Source organism: Homo sapiens, chromosome 20, assembly GCF_000001405.40.
Source record: "Homo sapiens chromosome 20, GRCh38.p14 Primary Assembly".
NCBI lineage: Eukaryota > Metazoa > Chordata > Mammalia > Primates > Hominidae > Homo > Homo sapiens.
Window position 1 is genome coordinate 5,968,786 of NC_000020.11, and position 20,316 is coordinate 5,989,101.

General features: G+C 40.2%; 1 protein-coding gene across 10 annotated transcripts in view, besides 1 other annotated feature; it reads left to right on the forward strand.

The window, feature by feature from the left end:
• MCM8 (minichromosome maintenance 8 homologous recombination repair factor) overlaps window positions 1-20,316 on the forward strand; it is a 48,326-nt gene that overhangs the window by 18,134 nt on the left and 9,876 nt on the right. For 3 of the 10 annotated variants that reach the window (NM_001281520.2, NM_182802.3, NM_032485.6), the window contains exons 11-17: window positions 3,222-3,252; window positions 4,271-4,411; window positions 9,091-9,232; window positions 14,185-14,380; window positions 15,996-16,215; window positions 17,137-17,346; window positions 18,497-18,573. In NM_001281520.2, coding sequence (NP_001268449.1) covers window positions 3,222-3,252; window positions 4,271-4,411; window positions 9,091-9,232; window positions 14,185-14,380; window positions 15,996-16,215; window positions 17,137-17,346; window positions 18,497-18,573 — 1,017 coding nt within the window. Of the gene's footprint in view, window positions 1-3,221; window positions 3,253-3,790; window positions 3,942-4,270; window positions 4,412-8,503; window positions 8,595-9,090; window positions 9,233-14,184; window positions 14,381-15,995; window positions 16,216-17,136; window positions 17,347-18,496; window positions 18,574-20,316 lie in introns of those variants that run through there. The other 7 variants (XM_017028105.2, NM_001281521.2, XM_047440552.1 and 4 more) reach the window with 5 other exon arrangements.
• Window positions 673-1,239: an enhancer, noted in NCBI's record as "OCT4-NANOG hESC enhancer chr20:5950104-5950670 (GRCh37/hg19 assembly coordinates)". NCBI's record gives its function as "activates a minimal SCP1, AML or CMV promoter by ChIP-STARR-seq in naive and primed H9 embryonic stem cells {active_cell/tissue: H9 hESC(naive and primed)}" and the evidence as "EXISTENCE:reporter gene assay evidence [ECO:0000049][PMID:30033119]".

The following is a 20,316-nucleotide window of genomic DNA, read 5'->3' on the forward strand; positions in this document are numbered from 1 at the left end:
AACGGAAGAGTGAGGGAACAGTGAATTCCAAAGCCATTTCAATTAGTTCTGTGTAGGGTGTTGCTCATAGAGATTCAAATCGAATTAACATATATTCAAAAAGTATTTGATAATTTTATTTCCATGCTATTGCCATGCCGTGGAGAAGCAGCAAAGTATAGGCATTTTTTGCTTTAGTGGTTAAGAGCTTTTCTTTGGAGACAAACCTAAGTTAGACTCCTGCTTTGGGCATTTACTTCCAGTGTGATCTGGGACATATTACTTAATTTCCCCTTTATTTGTATCACCTTAAAATGGAAATAATAAGACTTACCTCAGAAGGTTGTTCTAAAGATTAAGTGGGATTTTATAATGTACTTAACATAACTACTGCAACATACTGTTACTTTTGATAATTTTTTGACAACTGTGGGGTAATTTTGAAGAAATAGGAGAAAATGAGAGAGACTGAATAATAGATATATCTAAGAGAGGTAAAGAACTGAGAACGTTTTGAAATGCATTGTATTATAAAAAGTGATCTTGGCCAGGCACAGTGGCTCAAGCCCGTAATCCCAGCACTTTGGGAGGCCGAGGCGGGTGGATCACCTGAGGTCAGGAGTTCGAGACCAACCGGACCAATATGGTGAAACCCTGTCTCTACTAAAAATAGAAAAATTAGCTGGGCATGATGGCAGGTGCCTGTAATCCTAGCTTCCTGGGTGGCTGAGACAGGAGAATCTCTTGAACCTGGGAGGCGGAGGTTGCAGTGATCTGAAATCGCGCCACTGCACTCCAGCCTGAGCAACAGAGCAAGACTCTGTCTCACAAAAAAAAAAAAAAAAAGTGATTTTGTCATGCTTTTCTGTTCAGTAGGCTCAGGTCTGTAAGAGGATTTGATGCTTTTTCTTTCTGGCTTTAATATGTTAATTAGCTGACTGAGTAAAGAATAGTGCTCCACAGGGGTTTTTTGTCCTTAAATCCTACTTCCCTCTGAATAAAAGCCATTCAGACCCACCCTGGAAGAGAGGCTGCTCTAACTTAGCGTTGCTGGGGTGGTCTTGGAGTGAGTCCTTTGAGCAGGTGGCCAAGGAAGCAACCTGGTCGACAATCCAAACATCTTTGGTTCCTCTTAACAGTTGTAAATTAAAACTGAACATTTTTAGTGGTCCCTCTTCTCCCATACTTATAGAAGAGTAAGTATGGAAAACTTTAGTTTTCTTCCCACAGTTTGCTTTTTCCCCCTCCATGTTTGTGATTTCAGCATCAAAACTAGAATTTTTCATGGTCCTCTATTATCAGTCTAGCAGAGATTGGCAAACTAGGCAGGCTGCCTGTTTTTGTAAGTCAAATTTTATTAAAACACAGCCCCACCCAGTTTACTTACATTACTGTTCACAGTTGCTTGCACACTACAAGTTGAATAGTTGTGACTGAGACAGTATAGCCTGTGAAGCTGAAAATACTTTCTGGCCCTTTAAGAAAAAGTTTGTCAACCCAGCCTAGGTGACAGTAGAAGTTTATGTTTTAGTTTAGGTTCCTTCAGAAGCAATGATTTGGATCAACATAGTTTACTTGGGAGGTGATTCTGGAGTTACTGGTAGGGAAATGATGGCAGCCAGTGTAGGTGCCTTAACGAACAGGTGACCCACTAGCATCTGGGACATAATCCTCCTGGGCCAGTGGAAAACTCCACTGTGGAAAGCCAGCTTCAGTATTTTTCCATTTAAGGGCCTACATTTGGGACTGCCCCCAGGAGTATTAAACACCTCAGCACTTCTGGCCTGCCCATCCTGCCTGCCAATGATGCTTGTGTGGCCATAGAAAGGTCTTTGGCAGACAGGTGCAGATGCCAGTAGGAAGCCGGAACATACTGAACAGTGAGTGCCAAGGGGATATGAGCACACCACCACCTCCTTCTGTGTTTACATATATTAAAAGGGAATAAAGACTCATGTTTTACTCCTGATTTTCTCTCCCACCCTATTTTTGTTTGTTCCTTGTTTATAAAATTGACAAATGTAAATGTACTGTTTTATATTCTTTCTCTTAATTTTTTTTAGAGACAGGGTCTTGCTGTGTTGCCCAGGCTGGATTGCCGTGGCACAATCAGAGCTCACTGTAGCTTCAAACTCCTGGCCTTAAGTTATTCTCCCACCTCAGCCTCACAAGTAGCTAGGACTAAAGGTGTATGCCACCATGGCTGGCTAATTTTTAATTTTTTTTTTTATAGATATCGGGGTCTCACTTTGTTGCACAGGCTAGTTTTGAACTTTTGGGCTGAAGCAGTTCTTCCACCTTGGCCTCCCAGAGTGCTTGCTGGGATTACAGGCATGAACCTGTAAACCAAAAATAAAATTCCAAGGCCCCCCACCCATTTAAACAGACTTCCTTCTCAGCCAGGGCTCTTAAGATTTAACCTGAAAGACTGATTCAGGCCACAAAGGGAAGTGGGGGTCAGACATGCCTTATTATACCTCTCTGGCATTAACATCAACACAGATTTTAAGTCTAATAAGAAACATTTTACAGCCTGTTCTCTCTGAAACCTGTTAGCCAAAGCTTCATCTGCATGATAAAACTTTGGTCTCTACAACCTCTTGCATCCCAAACATTCCTTTCTATTGATCCCAGGTCTTTAGACAAACTCAACCAATTGTCAACCAGAAAATGTTTAGATTTACCTGTAGGCTGGAAGCCCATGCTTTGAGTTATCCCACCTTTCTGGACTTTCTGGTTCTACAAATCACTGCACCTGGCCTCATTTTCTTATTTAATTTGACCTTTTGACTTGAACTGAAAAAAATGAAATTTTATCCCATCTTAGAGTATTATATACTGAGTTCACTTCTCAGTCTCCTTTCAGTGACTTGGCTGCACAGTCTCAAGATGTCTGTTCACATAAAATACAATATAATCCCGTATCCTAAAATGGAAGACCATGATTGTGACGCATTTTAAGGCTAGTTGTGTAAGAAGAGCAACATTGTATTTAGTTACTTTAAGATGCTTTGCAAGTATCCTCTGTTCCTTATGCAGAGTTTTTAAAAAATTCTAACCTTTATAGATTAACCAAGAACTTTGAGAAATGTACTGTAAGAATAAAATTTCAGTTGAGGGGATGTAAATTTTTTACATTTGTCTTTGTTGATATTAAGCAGGTTAAACAAATTGTAGAGGAGATCTCCTAATGGATCAATGAAGTATAAATTAGAATTTATAAGTTGTGTTCTGTTTTTCAGCTCGCTTTGCCCTGTCATTTTTGGTCATGAAGTAAGTATTTTACTTCATCTTTACTCAAAAAGTATATAAGGTTAGCAAAAATAACATATAAAAACTTTACAGAAAGTAGCAAATTTCTATTGGCCAGTTATTTATATCTTAATATGCTTTGTAAATTAATGATATGGGAGGCAAGCAAACTATAGCTTTTTTTTTTTTAATTTTTTTAATTTTTTGAGACAGGGTTTTGCTCTGTCACCCAGGCTAGAGTGTGATGGCACAGTCATGGCTCACTGCAACCTCCAGCTTTGGGGCTCAGGTCATCCTCCTGACCTCAGCCTCCTGAGTAGCTGGAACTACAGGCATGCACCACCATGTGCAGCTAATTTTTTTGTATTTTTTGTAGAGATGGGGTTTTGCCATGTTGCCCACGCTGGTCTGTAAGTCCTGGCCTCAAGTGATCCACCCAATTTAGCCTCCAAAGTGCTGGGATTATAGGTGTCAGCCGTATAGCTCCTTTTAAGAAAAAACTTTTACCAACTAGAGTAAATATGAATGGGCTTTTATTTTATTTATTTATTTTTTTGAGATGGAGTCTTGCTCTGTCGCCCAGGCTAGAGTACAGTGGTGCGATCTCAGCTCACTGCAACCTCCACCTCCCAAGTTCAAACAGTTCTCCCACCTCAGCCTGCCGAGTAGCTGGGACTACAGGCATGCGCCACCAGACCCAGCTACTTTTGGTAAGAAATGGGCTTTTAAAGTGACTAGACACTGCCAGTATTAAAGCAAAAACAAATATTTCTCGTTTTTGTGGAATGGATTTATGCCTTGCAAGGTAGCTCTTAGTAATTTCTAAGATAGCTCTGATTTTATATGTTTTCAAGTTTTTACTTTTTAATCATTTACGTGATAGAAGTTTGTTTTTAGACTTCCTTTTCTTAGAAAAAAATTATCATGCTTTTAAAACAATCCCCAAACAAATTAATATTATAGAAGGAGGAATACCCCCTTTACTAGTCACCTTTATGTTTTCCTTACTTCTGTTTTTTGTTCTTTTTTCGCACTTGAGCTTGTTAAAGCAGGTTTGGCATTAGCACTCTTTGGAGGAAGCCAGAAATACGCAGATGACAAAAACAGAATTCCAATTCGGGGAGACCCCCACATCCTTGTTGTTGGAGATCCAGGCCTAGGAAAAAGTCAAATGCTACAGGTAGACAATCAGTCATTTAGTGTTTGTTCTTTTGCTTGTAAAATGCGTTAATAATTCACAAGTGAATTTTCTCAAAGCATGTAGTGTGTGTGTTCCAGAGGACATGGTTAGGTGGCGTAAATGAATTGGAATTTGTGTGAGTAATATGTAACTTATATCTGACCATATTTTTAAATTGAGCCAGTCTCCTGTTACAGAGGCTGTACAAACATCTTGGTCTGTTGAGACATCAACTATTAGGAAATATTAACCATTTCTCTAACCATTGTTTTGCTAGTCTTTGTTGTTGTTAGTTGTTATGTGACCTCACCTATGAACAGAATAGTTCAGGGGAGTTAAAGCAGGGTCACCTATTCTCCCTCATACAAGTACATAAACACTGTATTGGGCTTTAAGAACAGTCTGCTAAAGGTGTGGGATCTGTCTGTATATATCTCCACTGCTTGTGAGTCCAAATCAAGGCAACCTTTTTTTTTGAGACGGAGTCACACTCTGTTGCCCAGGCTGGAGTGCAGTGGCATGATCTGGGCTCACTGCAACCTCTGCCTCCCACTTTTAAGCAATCCCTGTGCCTCAGCCTCCTGAGTAGCTGGGATTATAGGTGCGCACCACCACGCCCAGCTAATTTTTGTATTTTTAGTAGAGACAGGGTTTTGCTGTGTTGGCCAGGCTGGTCTTGAACTCTTGGCCTCAAGTGATCCACCCACCTTAACCTCCCAAAGTGCTGGGATTACCGGTGTGAGCCACCACGCTCTGTCCAAAGCAAGGCAACTGCTGTGATCAGTCATTTGTAGATCCCCAAGAAAATTCTGCCTCTGCCAGTCAGAGCCTAGTGGTTTTCCTTTCCTGGGTTTTATGATGGCTTTAGAAGGTGCTGCTTATTGGTATGCTTGTAGTTTCCTTAAAGTGACAACCGGTAAGCCAGCCGTAATGTGCTTTCTACTTTATTTTTTTGAGACAAGGTCTTCCTCTTTTGCCCAGACTGAAGTACAGTGGCGCAACTTTGGCTTACTGCAGCTTCCACCTTGGGCTCAGGCAATTCTTCCAACTCAGCCTCTCAAGTAGCTGGGACTATAGACATGTGCCACCATGCCTGGCTAATGCTTTTTTTGTAGAGATGGGGTTTTGCCATGTTGCCCAGGCTGGTCTCGAACTCCTGGGCTCAAGCAGATCCACCTGCCTTAGCCTTCCAAAGTGCTGGGATTAAAGGTGTGAACCACTGTGCTTGGCCACTGTGCTTTCTAAAAATGCCTGTGGCCCCCTTCTTCACTCGATGTGGAAAATTGACCAGGGCTTCTCTGGCCCTTTAGTAAGTTGTAGTAGTATGGCTCCTAAATCTTTTTCCAAGGATTGGGATCCTGGCTGCACATCTTAATTACTTTTGGAGCTCTTTGAAAATACCATAGCCCACTGCAAGCCAATTGAGTTAAGAGTTTCTAAGTTAGGGTCCTAGTGTCTATATGTGTACAACAGTCCACAGATGATTCTAATATGCAGCCAGCCTTGAGAACTGCTTTGATCTTGTCATTACATTATAAACCCACTGTCCTTCATATCTGAGTCATCCTTTATTGCCTGTGGTTGAGTGTTAAACCAGTCATTTTAATTCCTAGATATTATTATAATTCCATAGATATTTCATCTATGTTTGGTTCCTTTTGGCCATCTGGGGCTACTTTTTAAAAAATAAATTCTGTTCTGAGACCTCGCTACAATGTAGCCTGACAACAGAGGCTCAGGGTACCCCTTACAGGTGAAACAAAGCTCATCATGAACAGGAATCTGGGTGCAGTGGCTTACGCCTGTAATCCTAACACTTTGGGAGGCCAAGTCGGAAGGATTACTTGAGGCCTGGAGTTCAAGACCAGCCTGTGCAACAAAGTGAGACCCTATCTCTACAAAAAAGAAAACAATTAGCTGGGCATGGTGGCGCACACCTGTAGTCCCTGCTACTCCGGAGGCTGCAGCAGGATGATTGCTTGAGCCTAGAAGTTGGAGAATGCAGGGAGCCATCGTTATGCAACTGTACCCCAGCCTGGGCAATAGAGCAAGACCCTGTCTTTAAAAAAAAAAAAAAAGAAAACATTATGTTTAGAATATGTAGGAAAAGATGCAAGTGGGGATCTGAATTGTTACAGCTTTCTTTTCTGTCTTTTGTGTGGTATACCTGTTCGTGTGTGTAACTTTGGAATTAGTGAATTATAGGTGGGAGCCTGTTTTAACCCCTAGAGTGTCTTATCTGTACAAATCTCATAATTTATACATACTGCTTGCAGTATATAAAACTTCCTTTTTTTGCTCTTTTTTTTTTTTTTTTTGAGTCGGAGTCTCGCTCTGCCGCCCAGGCTGGAGTGCAGTGGCATGATCTTGGCTCACTGCAAGCTCCGCCTCCCGGGTTCACGCCATTCTCCTGCCTCAGCGTCCCAAGTAGCTGGGACTACAGGCGCCCACCACCACGCCCGGCTAATTTTTTGTATTTTTAGTAGAGACGGGGTTTCACCATGTTAGCGAGGAGGGTCTCCATCTCCTGACCTTGTGATCCGCCCGCCTCAGCCTCCCAAAGTGCTGGGATTACAGGCATGAGCCACCACGCCTGGCCTTTTTTTTTTTTTAATAAATGTTTCTTGGCAGATAGTTGTTCTAAAATGTGTCCAGTGGTATTGAAAGTGTTAATACCAAGAAGTTACATTGGCAGTTTTTCTTGTTTTCAGACCTGGAATAATGCCTTTGGCTCAATTTAAAAATAGAATCTGTAATGTTAGTGGAAATTAAACATCCTGAATAGAGTATGGCATGTAAGCCACACTAAGCCAGGGTTTTTAAAAACGAGACTAACAGGCTGGGTGCAGTGGCTCATGCCTGTAATCCCAACACTTTGGCAGGCCAAGGCAGGAGGACCAAGCTGGACAATATAGTGAGATCCCATCTCTAAAAACAATTTTAAAAAAAATTAGGTGTGGTGGCATGTGCCTATAGTCCCAGCTACTCAGGAGGCTGAAGTGGGAGAATCACTTGAGCCTAGAAGTTTTAGACCAGCCTGGGCAACATAGTGAGACCTTGTTTCTTACAGAAAATTAATTAGCCAGTCATGGTGGCATGCTCCTATAGTCCCAGCTACTAGGGAAGCTGAGGTTGTTGTAACCATGCGAGTTATAGAGAAACGCCACACTTTGAGACAAATTAAAGAGTCCTTTATTAGCCAGCGACCCAGAGACAGCTCACGCCCAAAATTCTCTCAGCCCCGAGGAAGGGGCTAGTTTTGTTTTTATACCATGGTCTAAATAGGGAGGGGGGATTTTAGCTGAAGCAATTTTTACAGAAGCAGAACTGGCAGAAAGTTAAAAAAATTAATTGGTTACAAATGCAGTTACAAAAAAATAAACAGTTCCAGGTACCGGGGCTTAAACTATCACAAAGAGATAAATGTAGGGGTTTTGGGTGCCATGCACTGCGCGTGCCCCCAGGAGCTGCTGGTGCAACTCGCCTCAGCATCTCATCAACAGGTGCATTCCTGGACGTGCTTTGAGTCAGTTTTACACTAGCTATGCCTGGAGGGAGGTGAAAGGGTTTACAAGTGAAGAAGCTAAAATGGAGTCTGTCCGGCTCTCTCTCTGCTAGGAGAGAGTCACTCGGGTTAAAACAAGGTAGGATATCACAAGGTGGGATGATCACTTGAGCCCAGGAGTTCAAGGTTGCTGTGAGCTAGGATTGTGCCACTGCACTCCAGCCTGGACGACAGAGTGAGACCCTGCCTCAAAAATAATAAATATAACAAAACAAATTAAAAATTAGGCTAACACCAACTGTTATGAACCATTTACTTTATATTTTTGTGTTTTCTTCTTACCACCTAGTAAACCATCATACTCTGTGTGTTATAAGGTTTCTCAGAAAGACTATATAAGTAACAAAAATAATGATAATTACTATTTATTGAGCCAGCAGCATAGGATAACAGTGGGTGTTTGAGATGTGAATACTGTCCCCTAGAATTGGGCAGTGCACTGCCATACACGGCAGTTTTACATTGGGCACTTATGTGCCAGGTACCAAATTAAATGCCTTTCATACATGATTTCATTTATTGTTCAGGGCAATGCTGTGATAAAACATAAGGAAGCTGAGGCTCAGAGAGGTCTGAGAGCCACACAGCTGGTGCATGGTGGAGCCACGATTTAAACAGGTCTGTCTGACTCCAGAGAGCTATGCTTTTAACTCTTGTGCTGTTTACTTTTCTGGCCTGTTATAGCATGTTTGCTCAGAAGGTGAGCATGTATTAAGTCACTTTATTACCTGATGTTTAAAGAAGCATTGGAACCTTCAAAATTAAAATTGGTACTCATGTTTTTGCTTTTCGAACTTGAAAATGAAGCATAAATTGGAATTGTGTTGAGTATTTATATGACCACAGACTTCAGAATCTGACTGCCTGGGTTTGATTGAATCCTGACTTTCCACCTTGATAGCTGTGTAGTTCCTCATTCACTCTTTGTTGGCCTTGGTTTTGACATCAGTAAATCAGGATATAATAATACCTTTCTCTGCTGGTGATGGTGCACCTTGTACACTAAAGCTCTTAAAAGAATACCTAGCATATACCTAACGTTTGTGAGCAACTGCTGTTAGCTATTACTTCCCTTTTACTTTGGATGATTCTCTTAAACTTTTTGTTTCCTTAGGCAGCGTGCAATGTTGCCCCACGTGGCGTGTATGTTTGTGGTAACACCACGACCACCTCTGGTCTGACGGTAACTCTTTCAAAAGATAGTTCCTCTGGAGATTTTGCTTTGGAAGCTGGTGCCCTGGTACTTGGTGATCAAGGTGAGAGGCCAAAGGGAATAATTAGTGATTCTGGGACTTTTTGAAAAGCCTTTTCCTTTTCAGTTAATTTCTTTACATTCTGTTTAAGAGAAACATTTAGATAGCAAAGTCCTAACCAGTAAGTTGACACTGTCAGAAATAATCATTGGAAATGCAGTATCATCATTTTTATACTACAGAATTGGAACTGTACTTAATGTCATTCATTTTCAGAATCTTATAGCCGATACAAGTATATGTAAAAATCAAATAAATATGTGTAGCTCCCTGAACTTCCCATTTCATACCACCTATCATATTTGTGATCATTTTTTTTAAAAGCCTGTTTTGAAGCTTTGTAGTAAGCTCCCTGTATGGTGGGATTTGGATGTCTTGTGGACTGCCATGTTCCCATTGCCTAGTACATAGGGGCACAGTAAATACTTATTGAATGCGTTACTATGATTTAGCTCTAAATAGTTTGGAAACCTTGGCACTGACAAAAAGGTGGATGTCATCCTTTGCTCACAGAGGACTTGCAATAGGAGATTACAGGTGTTACTTTCGATGTTTTTTTCTTTTTATGAGACAGAGTCTTGCTCTGTCACCCAGGCTGGAGTGCAGTGGTGCAGTCTCAGCTTTCTGCAACCTCTGCCTTCCAGGTTCAAGCCATTCTCGTGCCTCCTGAGTAGCTGGGATTACAGGTGTGCGTGACCACATCCAGCTAATTTTTGTATTTTTAGTAGAGACGGGGTTTTACCATGTTGGCCAGGCTGGTCTTGAACTCCTGGCCTCAAGTGATCCACCCACCACACCTCCCAAAGTGCTGAGATTACAGGCTACAGGCGTGAGCCACCACACCTGGCCTACTTCAGAATGAATAGTTTTGCCGTATTGTAACTGAACTCATTGGTTTTTTTTCAGGATTTGAGTGACAGGTGGTAAGAAGTCCAGGCATAGGGCCCAGCAAGAAGAAACCTCTACATTGGGCTTTGTCACCTAAGTTTCTCTTTGTGATGCCTTCACCTTATTGGGAAAACATGTTTCCATGCATGTGTCAGGCAGTGTCCAGATTCCAGTCCAGTTAAGGTCGTTCATTCCTTCTGGTTTGCCAGTGACTTCCATATTCTGAACCCAGGACCTGGTAGCCACATTTGACACAGTTAATCACTCCCTCCTCCTTGAGACCCTTGAAACTCTCATTGGTTTCCAGGCCACTTTACTTCATTCTTTACTTCTTTCTCAGTCGTTTACTGGTTCTTCATCTCCACAACCTCTTACCTGTTGTTAACTAAGGTGCTTAGTTCTTGGACCTTTTGTCTTCTGGGTCTGTATTTACCTTCTTGGTGATCTTGTATCGTTTCATTGGCTTTACCTACCTATCCGTGAAAAATTCTAAATTTATAATCTCGTTTCCCTTAAATATCAGGCACATACTTCTTATTGTCTACACAGTATCTCCACAAATTTCTCAAACTTAACATGTCTAAAATTAAAATCCTGATTTTGCCTTTCAAATCTATTTTCACAGTCTTCCTCATCTCAGTAAATGACAACTCTCATTATAATTGCTCAAATCAGAAAACACGGAGCCATCCTTGACTTTTTCTCATACCCCACATTAATCTGTCAGCAAATCTTGTTGGCTGTACCATCAAAATATATCTGCTATCTAACCACTTCTTCATTACCCTGGTCCATGGCACCATCATGTCTCACATGGATTATTACTGTAATCTCCTAATTGGCATGCCTGTAACCACGCTTGCCCCTTCCTGTTGTTTTTAATACAGTAATCTCATTAAAAATTAGATTGTGTTACTCTTGCTCATAACCCTCCAGTAACTGCCCGTCTCGCTCAGAGTGAAAGCCAAAGTCTTGAGAGTGGCCCAGGGCCATTCATGTTCTGGCCTTTCACCTCTTTTGCCTCCTTATCTGCTGCTTCCCATGTCTCCTCTTCTCTAGCTCCATTGGTGGCTCTGCCTTGGACACCACCAGCACACCAGGCACGTCACATTTCCTCATAAGGGCCTTTGTACTTACTGTTCTGTTTGCCTGGAATGTTCTTACCCCAGATAGAGCTGCAAAGGCTTGTTTTCTTTCCCCCTTAATGTTTTGCTGAACTGTCCTGACCCCAGTGAGGTCTTCCCTAAATACCGTATTTTAACTTATAACCTCCCCTGCCCCTGCTGCACCTTAGCAGACCTTATTTTCCTTACCCTAATCTACTTTTTCCTTCCATAGCACTTTTTACCTTCTATATTGTTTACTTTTTTATTGCCTGGACCCCCTATTGGCTGAGTAGAACATAAGCTTCCAAGAGCAGGGAATTTTGTCTTTTCAGTGCCATACTCGGCATTCCTAGAACATAGTACTGGTATATAGAAGGCATTCAGTTTATTGAATTTATAAATTTATTGCATTTATATCTAGTAAATATTTGCTGAATAAATAAATACCAAAAACATGTATCTCGTTATTATATAGCTCATCAGAAGTGAGAATATCTTTGCTAAGTTACCAGGTAAAATATAGTAATAAAAAGATGATACTCATGAAACCATGCAACTTCATTAACTAGAAGTAGAAGGTGATTTGGAGGTTTTTTAAAAAAATTTTAATGCCAGCACTTTGGGAGGCCGAGGCAGGCAGAGCACTTGAGACCAGGAGTTTGAGACCAGCCTGGCCAACATGGCAAAACCCTGTCTCTACTAAAAATACAAAAATTAGTTGGGTGAGGTGGCGCATGCCTGTAATCCCTGCTGCTCAGGTGGCTGAGGCACAAGAATCGCTTGAACCAAGGAGATGGAGGTTGTAGTGAGACATGATGGTGCCACTGTACTCCAGCCTGGGTAACAGAACGAAACTCTGTCTCTCAAAAAAAAAAAAAAAAAAAGTTCAAAGTTTATGTTTTATGCTTTAAAACAAGGGGTCATTAAACTTTGGTCCATAGGTCAAACCAGCCAACAGTGTGTTTTAGTACAGTCCACAAGCTAAAACTGGCTTATATATTTTTAAAAGATTGTAAAGGACAAACAAACAAACAGAAAAGCCCAAGAATATGTAAGGTTGTGCATGGCCTGTGAAACTTAAAATATATACTTCTGCACATTTGCAGAAAAGGCTTACCAGCTCCTGCTTTATACTTTGAAAAGTGACAGCCAAAGTAGGAAGTAGCTTGACTTTGTTCCTACCCCATCTCTGAGGAATTGCATTAGCAATCTTGATAATTTCCAGTAATACCATGAATCCAGAGAGGTATAGGCAGACGGAGCAATAGGCAGCTCAGGGAAAGGTGGAGATAAAGCCTGTGAGTCTACCACTGCTAGGATCTTAGCACAGGCAGGGAAGGCTCACTATGTCCCAGAGCTCCACATTGAACAGCAGGAACAGGCTAATGCACTGGGATCCCCTGCCATGAATATGGGACACATTCCCAACAGAGGGGGGTGAACTCTCAGAAGAGATCAGCAAGAAAGGTGGCACAAAGTTCAACAAAGCCCCCCTTGCTTCCCCCTCCTAAATCATTACGTTACCAAAAAGTGCAAACTGTAGCTGGAAAGGAAAAAATGGGTCAAAATTACATTGGGAAAAGCGTATTGACAAGAATTCATATATACTGTGTCGGAAGAAATAGGTTTGGACAGAGCAGCCGTTATTATACATGAGCAAGGCAAAGAGACAGCATAGCAGCTGTGAAGAAATAACGTAGGAAGAAAGAAAGACATTTAATATGCCCAGTAAAAGACCTCACTGTAGACAAAATTATAATCTAAGGAACAAATGAAAATTTCCCATGAGTGTTTCATGTTTGATAAGAACATTAATGAAATAGCTCAAAACAAAAAGATAAGGCTATGAGAGACAAATTGATGACTAACAATGTTATTAAACTAATATATAAAATTGACACTGCTGAATGAGAAATTATAAAGAGGAAAGGCTTGAGATAATTGCAGTGAATGCAAAAGAACAAAGCTTAATACAATTAGAGGGGAAGTAACAGAGATAGAGAACAAAGGAAATTCAACATAATTGGTTCCATGAAGTAGAAAACCCAAACATGAAACCAGAAATGGATTCAAGGATAGAAGAAAATCTGTTGAAATAAACTAAAGGCACTGTATGTGCCAGGAATGTCATGTCTATTGCACAAGTTATTGGGGACTCTCTAACATTAGTTTACAATATTTGTCTTCCCTGCTCCCCATACCAGTTAGGTTAGCAGCTGGGGATCAAAAAGACTAATCAGCAGTTATTTTCCATATACTCCTCTGTGCTAGTAAGGCTTACTTAGGTATAGAGTAGATACGGAGGGGTTTAACCACAGCAAAGCCCTTCAGATGTGACCCCCAGATACTAACCTAACTGGTATGGGGAGAAAGGAAGACAAGCATTACGAGGTAATGTTAGAGAATCTCCAATAACTTATGCAATAGACATGACATTCCTGGTACATACAGTGCCTTTAGTTAGTGGTGGTGCATTGTATTATGTTTAAAGAGATTAAGTGATTTCCCTATAAGTGCATACAAGTGTATAGTCAATACCTGGTATAGGTTTTGAAATATACTTATTAAACATAATAAACTTACTATATGTGTATTGAGGTATACTTATTAAATTGTGCATGTGTGTTTGTGTGTGTATGTAACATCACACCCATTTGAATTTAACTCCTTAAGCATTTTGAGAATTACTCTTACCTCCTCTTCGTTTTTGTAATCCTCACAACATAGTGCTGTGCGTATGAAAAATGCTAAAGGAAGAACTATTACACAAAACTTAGTTAAATAAGACAAATGTATTAACTTGCTGCAGAACAAACAGTAATTCTCCATTGTATGACATTTTATAATTTTAACTGCTGAAACAAATGGAAATAATTATTGTGAAACAATTTCTATCCTATAAAATTTGGAACTTGACCAAAGAAAAAATGTTTTTTCTGCTTTATTCTACTTCGATTGTAGGTATTTGTGGAATCGATGAATTTGATAAGATGGGGAATCAACATCAAGCCTTGTTGGAAGCCATGGAGCAGCAAAGTATTAGTCTTGCTAAGGCTGGTGTGGTTTGTAGCCTTCCTGCAAGAACTTCCATTATTGCTGCTGCAAATCCAGTTGGAGGACATTACAATAAAGCCAAAACAGTTTCTGAGAATTTAAAGTAAGTCTCTTCAAATATTTATACCTTTAATGTATTGAATCACTTTAATTCAATAAGAAAAAGAAATAGTTCACAGAACTACAGGGGAAAAACATGGATATTTCACAGAAGTTATAAATGTCCAATAAATGCACAAAAATGTGCTTAAACACTGCAGAGTAAAACAATGAAGTACGAATGAGATCCACCAGATTGGCAAACATTTTAAATATTAATCATTTTTGGCAAAGTAGTGTGGAAATGGTTTCTCAGTGGCTGGGCGGGTGGCTTATGCCTGTAATCCCAGCACTTTGGGAGGCTGAGGCAGGTGGATCACCTGAAGTCAGGAGTTTGAGAACAGCCTGGCCAACATGGCAAAACCCCGTCTTTAGTAAAAATACAAAAATTAGCCAGGCATGATGGCAGCCGCCTGTAATCTCAGCTACTTGGGAGGCTGAGGCAGGAGAATTGCTTGAACCTGGGAGGTGGAGGTTGCAGTGAGCCGAGATTGTGCCACCACACTCCAGCCTGGGTGACAGAGTGAGACGCCATGTCAAAAAAAAAAGAAAAAGAAATTGTTTCTCACATACACAATTTATTATTTTGTGGGACCCCTTGGTGTGTTGATCACAATTCTAAATGCACATTCTGTTTGTTATAGCCACTCTACTTTTAGGACTACTGTTCACAGAAATAGTCATACAAGTGCACAACGATAGGTTTATAGCATGGGTATTGCAGCATTATTGCTGCCAAACATTGGAAACACCTTAAAACTATAATAAGACTGTAGTGATTATGAGAACGAAAGTGGCTTTATATGTACTAATGGGGGAACATGTCTGTGCTGTACTATTAAGTGAGAAGAGCACATTAACAAACTTAAATATGTGGTATGATCCTGCTTTTTTCAAAAACAATGTTTATATCTGTATGTATGCTTTCTCTTCTAATTCATTCTGTACAGCTTGGACAAAATGTGTGGAAAAGGAAAAATATATTTAAGTGATACAAAAGTGAGAAAAAGACAAAAGAGTACCTCCTGAAAAATTAGAGCCTTAAGCCTAGTGGGGGTGGAGTTAATTTCTTGTTGTTTAATAATGTATCAATATAGAAACAGTCTTTGATACATAGTGAAATACACAATGTGTACTTGGAGATTTAGGGTATTTACCACCACCACCAAAAAAATCAACCTACTAGTAGTTTTTCTTTAGTAAAATGACAAAGTGCTATATTAGAAAAATCAGAAAGATCTATTGAACAAAAATCCAGCAGACTTGGATTCTGTTTTTTAATGGTATCATGAACAAAATACTGAACTAGCTAACCTCTGATATGTCATGTAGCAGTATTGCCAATTAGTGATAATAGGACATGAAGAATTCAGTGGGTTTGGGGGTGTGAGAAAGAGCCATGTCCTCAACCTACCCAGGGTAGATACATGTAATTCTTGTGCCCATGTTGCAGTGGTTGGATATATCGAATCCAAGAAGCTATTTGCTTATTTCTTTAACCTAAATCTTGGTTTTTCAAGTTCTGCGTGGAACTTGAGTAGTAAATAAGTGAGTAGACAGTTTTCTAGTTTTTCCTTTTGATTCCAATCATTGTTTCTTCTTTCTTTCATCCTTCATAGAATGGGGAGTGCACTACTATCCAGATTTGATTTGGTCTTTATCCTGTTAGATACTCCAAATGAGCATCATGATCACTTACTCTCTGAACATGTGATTGCAATAAGAGCTGGAAAGCAGAGAACCATTAGCAGTGCCACAGTAGCTCGTATGAATAGTCAAGATTCAAATACTTCCGTACTTGAAGTAGTTTCTGAGAAGCCATTATCAGAAAGACTAAAGGTATAAATGTTTCTTCTCCTTATTCAGTTTGGTTCTGTTTGAATGTCAAAGTTCAGTGTGTGGCTTATTGTAGAGCAGTAGGATACAAACTTTTTTTTTACCAGAACTTTTTAATATTTCCATACTAGAGTTTACGTAAACTTCATCTGAAATAATCCAAGTCGGCCTGGCGTGGTGGCTTATGCCGGTAATCCCAGCACTTTGGGAGGCCGAGGCAGGTGGATCATGAGGTCAAGAGATCGAGACCATCCTGGCCAACATGATGAAACCCCATCTCTACTAAAAATACAAAAATTAGCTGGGCATGGTGGTGCGTGTCTGTAATCCCAGCTACTTGGGAGGCTGAGGCAGGAGAATTGCTTGAACCTGGGAGGCGGAGGTTGCAGTGAGCTGAGATCTCACCACTGCACTCCAGCCTGAGTGACAGAGCGAGACTGTCTCAAAAAAAAAAAAAAAAAGGAATCTAAGTCAGCTAAGATGAGACCTACAGATAAAGTGTTTGGTTGATTTGGAGAGTCTTTTAGAATTGTATATTTATCTAAACAAGTTATTTATTTATTCTGAGACATAGTCTCACTCTTATCGCTCAGGCTGGAGTGCAGTGGTGTGATCTTGGCTCACTGCAACCTCTGTCTCCCGGGTTCAAGTGATTCTCCTGCCTCAGTCTCCCAAGTAGCTGGGACTCCAGGCACGTGCCACCACGCCCGGCTAATTTTTGTATTTTTGGTAGAGATGGGGTTTTGCTGTGTTGGCCAGGCTAGTCTTGAACTCCTGACCTCAGGTGATGTGTCCTCCTTGGCCTCCCAAAGCGCAGGGATTACAGGCGTGAGCCACTGCACCTGGCCTAAACAAGTTATTTTAGCAGAAATATTTTATTTGCTACTTATCCTTGTTATCTTGGGCCTTTTAATCATGCTTCAGGTGGTTCCTGGAGAAACAATAGATCCCATTCCCCACCAGCTATTGAGAAAGTACATTGGCTATGCTCGGCAGTATGTGTACCCAAGGCTATCCACAGAAGCTGCTCGAGTTCTTCAAGATTTTTACCTTGAGCTCCGGAAACAGAGCCAGAGGTTAAATAGCTCACCAATCACTACCAGGCAGCTGGAATCTTTGATTCGTCTGACAGAGGTTTGTTTCTTTTTATGGTCATGCTTTTTTTGGCTTAAAGGGGAAGGGTGTGCCTTGACTTCTCTTTTGAAGTATTTTCTGCATAATTGACTCCATTTTCCTTTCTATAGAGAGATGTTAGAAATGGATGGATGAAAGTTTTTTAAAAGATTTTGTCATGTCTATAACATATCCAAGTATAGCTACTTCTTTCTAGTCACAGAATCAATTACTTAGCATGCAACTTTTCTTTTGTTTTTCTTTGACTGACTCTTAGGAGACTCCTGGAATATCTGAAAAGTGGTTAGGTTAACTAGGAGTATGAGACCCAAGTTGAGTATATGGGAACATGGAATGTGTCAGGTATCTTGAGTATTTTATTTTTTTACATGACAGGTCCACAAGGATAGTTCCTGTGTTTTTAACAGCAGTAATATCTATTCACAGTTTGAAATACTAAGAGAACTCTGGCAGTAAAAATTAGCTAGCTCAGAGTTTGGGCTTTTTGCTCCTAAAATCTGATTAATTCTTCTTTGTTGTTTTACCATATTGGTTAGGTATGATTTCCTAAAAGTAAAAGGCAAGGGAAAACCAAGTGTATTTCATCATCAAATCTCCTGAAATGATCACTCAGAAATATACGTTAACAAGTAAAAATGAGGTTTATCCTTATTTTAAGTGAGTTGTAATTTTCATAGTCAAGGTTTCACAGATTTTTTTTGTTTGTTTGCCCTGAGTCAGGGTCTCCCTCTGTCACCTAGGCTGGAGTTCAGTGGCATGATCAAGCCTCATTGCAGCCTCTCCTCCCAGGCTCAAGGGATCCTCCCACCTCAGCTTCCCAAGTAGCTGGGACTACAGGCATACACCACCGCACCCAGCTAATTTGAAAATTTTTTTGTAGAGACAGGTCCTCACTTTGTTGCTCAGGCTGGTCTCGAACTCCTGGGCTCAAGTGATCCTCCCACCTCAGCCTCCCAAAGTGCTGGGTTTATAGGCGTGAGCCACCACCCCCAGCCCAGAGAATTACTTCCATATTTTGACTTTTGATGTTATAACCTTCCTCGCCTAAAGGTCAGTTTTTGTGTAAAACAAGTAAATGAAGTAAAGCTTAGACATACTATGGTAAATATATTCATCTTTCGTCATCTGAAAATGGTGTTTTCTTTTAAAGGCACGAGCAAGGTTGGAATTGAGAGAGGAAGCAACCAAAGAAGACGCTGAGGATATAGTGGAAATTATGAAATATAGGTAAGATAAAAATTTCAAATTGTTTTAAATGAAATACCAGTTATCTTCCCATCTCAAATTAGGTAATAGGCCAAGGCTACTTTTATTTAGCCCATTGGGTCACTTATTTTCCTCCTAAACAGAGTACCGTTTCTTAGTTTAAAATATTTCTCACTGTGTAAATAATCTTTACATTAGAAATTTTTTTGAATGAGTAATACATTTACATAGTGCTAAAATCAGTTCCAAAACCTATTGGAGAAGAGCTATTTACCACCTACTCGCCCTTCACCCAGACACCCATTGCTTTTCCACAGTCTGCTGTTTATACTCTTCTGTACTGGTTTTGAATTTTAACAATATATCCAGAGATCTTTTTTTATTAGAGACTCTTTTTTTATAGCTAGAGTATTCTATTGTGTAGATATACTATATAGTATATTTGATCAGTCCCCTATTGACACATAAATATTTTCCATTCTTGTGCTTTTAAATAATGCTACAATGAGTAATGTTCTACGTAAGATACTTCATATGTGGGTAAGTTGTGCACCTACGTGATAAATTCTCAGAAGCGATATTTCTGGGTTCAACAGTAAATACTATAGGTTTTTGATAAATATTGCTAAATTGTATCCTTTGCATTTTACATCATTTAGTAGATAATGATTCCTAGAAGGTAGAAAAGAAAAATTAGTTGAGCATATATGTTTACCTTAGACATAGATTTTTAAAAATCAGTAATATTATTTTGGGTAGTTTTTTTTATTCCAGATAAAAAAATTTTTTTAATAGGTCCATACTTTCATAAGCTTCAAAATTCCAAAGTTCAAAAAGTATAGGCCAGGTATGGTGGCTCACACCTGTAATCCCAGCACTTTGGGAGGCCGAGGCAAGTGGATCACCTGAGGTCAGGAGTTCGAGACCAGTCTGGGCAACATGGTGAAACCCCGTCTCTACTAAAAATACAAAAAATTAGCTGGGCGTGGTGGCTAGTGCCTGTAATCTCAGTTACTTGGGAGGCTGAGGCGGGAGATTTGCTTGAACCTGGGAGGTGGAGGTTGCAGTGAGCTGAGATTGTGCCACTGTACTCTAGCCTGGGTGACAGAGCAAGACTCTGTCTCAAAAAAAAAAAAGTATATAGTGGAAAAAGTTTCCTCCTACTCAGCTTAATAGTTACCCCGTTCTTCCTGCTAGCCAGTGGCAATTATTAGCAGTTTTTTGTGTGACTACATATCTATATATTCTTTTTTCCCCTTTGTAGACAAATGGTAACTATAACAACATACCATATACATGCTATACCTTGCTTTTTTCATTTAAAATGCATTTTTAATATCCTCTGATAGCAATGAAAATACATTATCTGTTAGGAGTCTACTTTTCCAAGACCAAAAAATATATTGAAGATGAAATTATCTAATTTTGTTAAGTAATTTCTAATTCTTCTAAGGTAGATGAATTCTTTTGTCCTAGTAGCTGCTGATTCTGAGGTTTGCGTGGTGTCAGAACCAGGTGGTTTTGCCCAGGTGGTTTTGCCCAGCTATTCCCCTTTGGCTGTGAATAAAAGTGCAGCATAGCTGGAAGAGCAAGGGCTTTGGAGTTCAACCTGGAGCTGCCATGGCAGGTTACACACTGCTTCTCAGTTTCCTCTGGTGTAAAACACACCACAAAGGATTGTGCTCTGAGGTGTCATGCAGTGATGCTCAATAAAGTGACGAATACGGTTCTGATACATTAGAGAACACTCAGTAAACACTGTTT